Source organism: Homo sapiens, chromosome 20 (genome assembly GCF_000001405.40).
Source record: "Homo sapiens chromosome 20, GRCh38.p14 Primary Assembly".
Classification (NCBI taxonomy): Eukaryota; Metazoa; Chordata; class Mammalia; order Primates; family Hominidae; genus Homo; species Homo sapiens.
This window is the reverse complement of record NC_000020.11, coordinates 24,818,474-24,826,464: the sequence shown is the minus strand read 5'-3', so window position 1 is coordinate 24,826,464 and position 7,991 is coordinate 24,818,474. Positions and strand designations below refer to the sequence as shown.

General features: G+C 47.8%; 1 long non-coding RNA gene across 1 annotated transcript, besides 1 other annotated feature; it reads left to right on the top strand.

Annotated features, from left to right (window-relative positions):
• Positions 689-863: a silencer, noted in NCBI's record as "fragment chr20:24806238-24806412 (GRCh37/hg19 assembly coordinates)". NCBI's record gives its function as "represses an EF-1alpha promoter that drives an FKBP-Casp9 reporter gene in an ReSE screen in phorbol 12-myristate 13-acetate-treated (for megakaryocytic differentiation) K562 erythroleukemia cells {active_cell/tissue: K562(+PMA)}" and the evidence as "EXISTENCE:reporter gene assay evidence [ECO:0000049][PMID:32094911]".
• On the top strand, positions 2,854-7,669 carry LOC107985402 (uncharacterized). The gene is made up of 4 exons (XR_001754562.2): positions 2,854-3,091; positions 4,007-4,136; positions 5,835-5,964; positions 7,092-7,669. It is a non-coding gene; the product is annotated as an uncharacterized LOC107985402 (long non-coding RNA).
• The last annotated feature ends 322 nt before the right edge of the window (positions 7,670-7,991 follow it).

Genomic DNA, 7,991 nt, shown 5'->3' with positions numbered 1-7,991 from the left:
ATGAGGTTCACAAGGCAAACTGCTTTCTTGCTCTGTGAGTTGGGAAAAAATTTTGCTTTTTTAAGGAGTTGGATTATTTTACTTTTGCACAGATAATTTTCTTTTCTTTTTTAAAAATTTTTTTGAGACAGAGTCTTACTCTGTTGCTCAGGCTGGAGTGCAGTGTTGCAATCTCAGCTCACTGCAACCTCCACCTCTGCACAATTAATTTTCTGTGGTTTTGTTTTTGCTTTTTCCACTAGGGAGCTCAGAGTAAAATTTATGTTTCAGCTTTAGGAACTGGATGAGACATGAGAGTGTGGCCTTCAGCCTTACCCTTAGACTGGATTTTCTTTGCTGATCTGGATCTTCCATGATCTTGCATTTTAATCTTTTATCAACACTTTTTCATATGTGTGCTAGTCATCTCTATCAAGCCCTCAGGGGAACAAGTCAACAGCAAATGATGAACATTTAAAAACTCTGTGATTTTTGCTTATAGGCCAGTGGAGGGCAGGGAAGAAGCCACAGAGGTGAGGCTGGGGGCCTACAGCTGGAGAGATGGTGGATCATAGTGTGGGCTCAGGAGCTGGGTACCTGCACCCAGGCACTCAGTGCACACAGAAGCTGGCCCCCAGACCAGCTGGAGAGATGGCGGACCATAGTGTGTGGGCTTAGGAGCCGGGTGCCCGCACCCAGGCACTCAGTGCACACAGAGGCTGAAACTAACGGCCACTGCTCGGGTCTGGGGTAGGAGCCCCTGCTGTCACTTTGGGTCCTGCCTTTTCATGGCTCCACACATGCACTGGCTGAATCACCTGGGCACATCGCCTTACCTCTTTGAGCTTCAGTCTTCTTCTCTGCAAAATGGAACTAGTAATAGAGTTAGCTTCATAGAGGATTGTGTGTTTTAAATGAGACCAGTTTTTAGGTGTGGAACAGAGGGCCTGGCACGAAGGGCTAGCCACCACTATTATTATTAGTAGTAGTAAAATCAGAAGACCTGGAAATTGTGTGCAAATGGAGGGTGGGGAATACTTGAACAGAGCTTGATTTTTGAGCTTATGGTGAGTATTCCTAACTCACCAGGTGTGGGAGGCAGAATTCTAATATGGCCTTCAAGATTTCCCACTCTAATCCCCAAGACTTTGAAGATTGGATTCACTGATGCAGGTGTAATTAGGTTTACTGCTATGGTCTGAGTGTGTCCCCCAAAATTCATATGTTGAAACTTAATCACCCAAGTGAGAGTATTAAGAGGTGGGGGAATGAAGTCACGAGGATGGAACCCCCATGAATGGGATTCACATCCTTATAAAAGAGGCTGAGGGGAGCACCGTAGGCTCGTGCCCCCTTTGTCTTCTACCATGTGAGGACACTGCGTTCATTCCCTCAGATGACACAGCAACAGGTGTCATCTTGGAAGCAGACACTAGGCCCTCCTCAGACACTGAACCTGCTGGCTCCTTGACCTTGGACTTGCCAACCTCCAGAACTGTGAGAAATGAATTCTCTTCTTTTTGAATCCCCAGTCTCAGGTATTGTGTTGCAGCAGCACAAGTGAATGGAGAAAGTTCCTAATCCTTCGACTTTAAAATAGCAGATTACCCAGCTGGGCTGAGCTTCACACACCCTTTACAGCAGAAGATATTCTCGAGCTGGTGGTGGAAGTGGAAGTCGGAGGGACCTATGGGTGACAGAGTGTTTGCCACCAGGGAGCTGCTCCATTCCTGATGGTGATGTGGAGGGGGTCATGGGTCAGGACCTGAGAGCAGCCTTCATGGACTGAGAATAGTCCTTGGCTGATAGACACGAGAAAACAGGGACTTCAGTCCTGGAACCACAAGGAACTGAATTTTGGCACAACCTGGATGAGGCCGGAAGCTGATCTTCCCTGGAGCCTCCACCCACAGTACAGCGGAGCTGACACCGGTTCCAGCTTGTAAGGGCAAAGGCAGAGAGCCCAGTCAAGCCTGCCAGGACTTCCGAGCTGCAGTGCTGCACGGTGGCAAATGGGTGTTGTTTAAAGCTGCTAAGTATATGGCATTATGGAGCTATAGATGGCTAATACGTTGAGTCACTTCCACATGGTACTGTCCACCTTCCGGGCATCAAGAAAACACCAAAACGGCTGCTGGGCAGGGGGGATGCACCACACAGTGGCTCCCCATCAGCCTCTGGAGCCTATTGGTGGCTGCTCCCGCCTGTGGGGAGGGGACACAGTGAGTGTCCCTTGCTGCTCCAGTGATGCAGTGACTGGCAGGTCTTGGGCCAGGGGCTCCAGGTCGCAGATGCCACCCAGTGGGAAGAGACATGCCTGTGCAAAAGAGCATCTGGAGCCCTGTTGGTGGCTGCTCCCCGCCTGTGGGCAGGGGACATAGCAGGTGTCCCTTGCTGCTCCAGTGATGCACTGACTGGAGGCTCTTGGGCCAGGAGCTCCAGGTCGCAGATACCACCCAGTGGGAAGAGTCATGCCTCAGCATCTGGGGGTCCATGGGACTCACTGGGAGAAGGACGTCTTCTCAAGCGCCTTCTGACTCATCAGCCGCTTCTCCCTGGAGGGCAAGATGTGACCCAGAAGGCTGAACAAAGACAACCAGCTCCAGGGATAGAAGGTCCTTGTGATCTCTCTTTAATTCAGCTTTTACTTTGATTGGTGAAGCCCTTCTGGTGAAATGTGTGAGGCTTAAACCCAAGACTGTAAACCTAATAGGAATTCGATTCACTTCATGAGTCAAGATAATTGTGCCCTGAAAAATGTTTTCAACATAACATTAATTTCGACCTTTACGTACAGACTGACATAAGTGTGTTTTTAAAATGGATATTCATGCATGACACAGTTTTCATTATCATCTTATCAGATTTCCTGAGTTGTTGCAGCAGTGATAGTTCAGGTGTTTCAAATAAGCAATCACTTATTTTTATGCTCTTGCAGGGACAGGTTATGGTGATTGAACGGGATTTTCTTTTTCTTTTTTTTTCTCCTACAGGAGCCTCAAGAACAAAGGCCATCAGAGAGGCCGTTTGCTGGCATGGAGCCCCCCAGGACTCATCAACCATGGTTGAGGTTGACTGAAAACAGAGCAAGAGAGGCCCCCGCCTGTCTCAGGTCCTCTCCATGCCCCCTTCCTGGTGGGATCCGTGAAAGGAACTGGCAGCATGTTTCTATTTCTTGGGATTTAAGATCCTTTGTGTGAAATATTTTAAAAACCAGGTTATGGTTTATCCGTAAATTCTAGCTGGATCCCACTGGCTTCCTGGCACCTTGTGGGCCATTTTTCCTCCCCTGGTAAGCAGGTTGTGGGGCCACTTTCCTCACCCCACCCAGGGCATGCTGACAAAGGAGCCCTGGCCAGATGCTGCCACTGCAGAATTTTAAAAAACGGATTAACCAAGTAGAGTTTATAAAATTGAGGTAGAATTCACATAACGTGACACTATTTTAACAATTTTGAAGTGTAGGAAATAGTGGCTTTTAGTACATCCACAATGCCGTGTGACCATCACCATCTAACTTCAGAATGTTTACATCACCCAGGAAAGAATCCCTGCCCTGTTGGCGGTGACATCCCAGTCCCGCCTCCCCTGCCACCTGACAACCAGGAATCTGCTTTCTGTCTCTACAGATTAGCCTATTCTGGGCATTTCATAGAACTATATCAACTAGTGTGTGTCTTTTGTGTTGGCTTCTTTCACCAAGCACAGTGTTTTCAAGTCCATTTTGTGGCAGCAGGAGGGATCACAGCTTCCTTCCCTTTCAGGGTTCCACAGTGTTCCACCGTATGGATGGACCACATTACCTTATGGATGGACCACATTTGGCTCATCCATATGCCCACCAGTGGCTGCTTTCTGGGCATTATGACTAACACTGATGTGAGCATTTCTGTACGTTTTTCTTTGACTCCCTGCAGAATTTTGGTGTGGTCTGATTCTCGGGTCTCACTTGACACGGCCTCCTCTGGCAAGTGCCTGCTAAGACTGTAATTCACTGATTGGCTATCCTGGGATTTGTTTTCCTCAGATGAGACTGGTGTTTTTTGCAAATGGATTACTTAAAGGTGTCTTGAAGGGGTATGATACTGCGATATGCACCTTTCACTGCCTGGAATCTTCCTGAGTTTTGTCTTGGTCGAGCTGCCTTCCATGTACAGGTGACGTCTCTCTCTCTCTCTCTCTCTGTCTACTATGTTTTTCGAAGGATCCTCTGATGCTATTTTTGGATTTTCCTGCTACTGTCTCTATTTCCCGAAGACCCACCCTGTTCTCACATTTATCAAAGCTTTGAGACCAGAGGTATTTGAGGGATGAGATCAACTCCATTAGTGCCTTAGGAATTAAAGATGCCAGGCCCGTTTCCTGAGAATGCTCTGTTTTAGTAATCACGGCTTTGTGCCACATTATGCTGTATACATCTATTCTTTTGCATGGATGGCATGTGCTTTCAGTAAGATTGGTTTAGGGCTGAGGTGATTGTGAGCTGCATCTCTGGAAGAGTGGGGATTGGAGGAAGATGGTGATCCCCTGTCCCACCCAAGCTGTGGGTACATCATCTCTCGACCACTACCCCCAGGTCAGTGCAAGCTCTCTCCCTGAGAAGGGCAACCAGGGCTATGAAGAGACAGCAAGTATGGCAGTGGAACCTTAGCAAGGAGCTGTGTGAACAATGCTGAGGAATGCATTGCTCTCATGCAGAGCAGAGTTGGTCCGGATTACAGCTGGGATCTCCTGTTGGCTTACAGGGTGGAGGCTGAAACCCATGCAGACATCCCCAGTCACTCATGAAGGCCTGCTGTTCAGGGTTCCCTGCTTTATTCCCTGTGCCATGCCCTGCATGATGCCAGTACCGTGGGGCCCATGGGTTACCAATCTGCAAACACGAGAGACACGGCTCAACAAAACCTCTCCACAACCATGGAAAGCACGGGGCTGCTGAGCGCGACCCAGAGAACCGCAGAGTGTGTGTCTCAAGCTCTCTGGCCACATGAACCTGTTGGGTGGGTTTTTGGGTCCCACTGGCTGCCCTTTTTACATGGCTATTTTTCTGGGCCTTTCTCTTTAAAATGTTGACCAACATGAATTTTAAATTGTTGAGTTTAGGTGCATAAAATGTATATATAATGGAATTTGTCAGCTTTTCAAGATGCAGCATAGAGTCTCTGATCCTTTGATGGCGTCCCCACTTCCCTGTGGACATAGGGCTTGCCCTCTTGCTTATTTTAGCAGCTCAAGTCCTTTGCCCTCAATTTTTTTGCTTGTCTTATCCAGCAGAGTCTCATGCACGGTTACTTTTAGTTATCAACACACTTCCCTGCTCATTTGTTGGTTCCTTTAACTGACCTTCAAGAGATCCTAGAATCAAGATGGTGCCGTGATCAGGGAGCAACCAAATAACCTTTGCAAATCTATCTCTAAATACATACACACACGCCTGCACACACACAAATGCATTCATATGTGCGTGTGTATGTACACACAGATTGAGTATCCCTTATCTGAAGTGCTTGGGACCAGGAGTGTTTTGGATTTCCAATATTTTTGGATTTTGGAATATGCACATACATGTAATGAGCTATCTTGGAGGATGAGACCCACTTATGTCTAAACGCAAAACTCACTTATGTTTCAAACATACCTTAAAACACAGCCTGAAGGTAATTTTATATAATAATTTAAATAATTTTGTGCATGAAACAAAATTTTGACCTCTATCACATGAGGTCAGGGGTGGAATTTTCAGTGTCATGTTGATGTTTACGAAATTTTGGATTTTAGAGCATTTCAGATTTCAGATTTTCAGATTATAAGTGCTCAACCTGTCTATATAAGTGTGTTCATTAATTTGCTTTCAGCCCCCTCTGAAGATGTTGGAAAGGAGGAGAAGGAAGAGGAAAGCAGAGGGGATCGCCCCGCAGAGGCCAGCCTGCAGCCTGGGCTCCATGCACCTCTGGCTGCTAACGGGATCCACCTCGGGTCAAGAAGGTGCTGGCTCACACTTTCCTCAAGATTTTAGAGATGCATGTATCCCAGTGCATGTCCTGGAAAGCCTTTAAAATTCAGAGAAAACAAGCAAAGCTCTGGCTAATTAAATGTTTTCTGCTTACCGTTGTTAACATATTAATGAAACAGGTTAAATGTATTACTCAGTGATGAGGAAGCTCTTAGCTTCTATGCACCCCTTTTTGAGAGGATTTCTCCAAGTGGCATCAGTGTTTACAGTGCACTGGCTTCCTGTTCATAGGACTTTTATGTGGGGGTGGTGGCAAGGCAGAAAGCATCCCCAGGGTGAGAAGGGGATGGGGAGGTCCACGTTGCAGTTCAGACCCCCTCGTCACCTGCCTTTGAGACAGCCACGTCCCTGAGCCTTTCCTGTCAAATGAGGGTAGGTAAGTTTCTAATGTTCCCGTTTTGACCTCTCAGACTCAGGGACTGGGGCTAGAGCACGGGTCCTCTCGTTGAAGTCACTGTAGCACTTCAGAGGCATCAGCACTCTTGCTTTATTTTGCACATCCTTGGTTGTCAGTTATTATGGGTACACAGCAAGCTACCCCAAACTTAGTACAACAACAACCGTTTTGCTGTGCTCACGGATTCTGTGGGTAAGGAATTTGGAAGGGGCCCAGGGTGTGGTGTGTCATTTGGGAAGATTTGAGTCAGTAGTAGGTTTGCTCACTCCCATGTCTGTGGCGCACGTGGCCTCTGTGTGGCTGGGCTTCCTCACAGCATGGCGTCCTGAGCTGCCTTTCATGGGGGCTTACTCAGGGCTCCCAGCACAAGGGTTCCAGCCAACAGGGTGGATTTCACAGCGCCTTTTCTGGCCCAGTCTCTGCCACACTGAATCATCTATACCTGGCGAGGTCCTGACCTCCTTTCTGCCAGACCCTTCTCTGGTCCTCAAGGTCCATTACTGTTTTTGCCGTTGGTTATAGCCTGCTGTGTACCTGTCCTAGAGTGTTGTGGTTAGGAGTGTGGTCTCGGGCGCAGACTGAAATACACTGCTGTGTGCAGTAGGAACCTCGGCTGCTGCCCTATGTTTATGGGAAGCACTTCACAGCCGAGCCTGGTGTCAGGCGAGTCCTCCATAAAGGACCTTGACTTTTCTTTCCCAGACTGCCGTGCAGGTTACTTCAGGGAAGCTCTGTCCTGGTCATCTCTGCCTGGCATTTCCTGCAGGATTTGGCAAGTACGGCGTTCCCTCTGCTTTGGGGCATTCTGCGCTGGGTCTGTCTCCTGTTCTGTAAGTCTCACAAATTCACCCTCTCGGAGCAGCCATCTCTGCCTGTCCCACGCTAGGAGCTGTGGTGACCCCCACTCATCTTGTTTCCTTTTGCTCATGGCACTAGCTCTAATGAAAATGTTTCGTCCCCTGTTTGTTTCTATTAGACCTGGTGGGATGTGAGCCCCACCAGAGCCAGATCTGGGCCTGTCTCCTTCCCTGCTGTATATTCAGTGCCTACGACAGGGTCTGGGTCATAAATGAATGGAGAGGAGGAAGGGAGGGGAAAAAAGATCGACTTCAGGAAGATTTCAGAAGCACGGTGCTGAGAATACCAGGGTCATGTACCGGGGTGGGATTTACTTCCTTTCCACACATTTAAAAAATCTCAAAGACATACATTCAGCTTTATTGAGTTTAGGTGAAATCTATTCATAATAAAAATAAAATGATATCTCAATGACAACTTAATTTTGAGTAAAAATATTTTCTAGAGGGCAGGGGCTCTAAATACAAAGAAGCACAGAGCATATGTCACCTCTCCCCAATGGGACTCATGGCTCTCGATGGAGCCACCTGGAGCCCATTCACTTTGTGGTTTATTCCTGGGTCGTCTCCACCTCCGTCCCTCAGTTACGGGGCTGTGATGATCCACACCAAGCCCCCATTCTTACTGCTCCACTGGTGTGATTTTCTTGGGACCACAATGGGGAGAGGATGGAATCGTCTGTTTTGAGAAAGCACAGCTTTGGACGTTCATTGGTTTTCCCCTGTGCCTCCATGACTTGAGGGC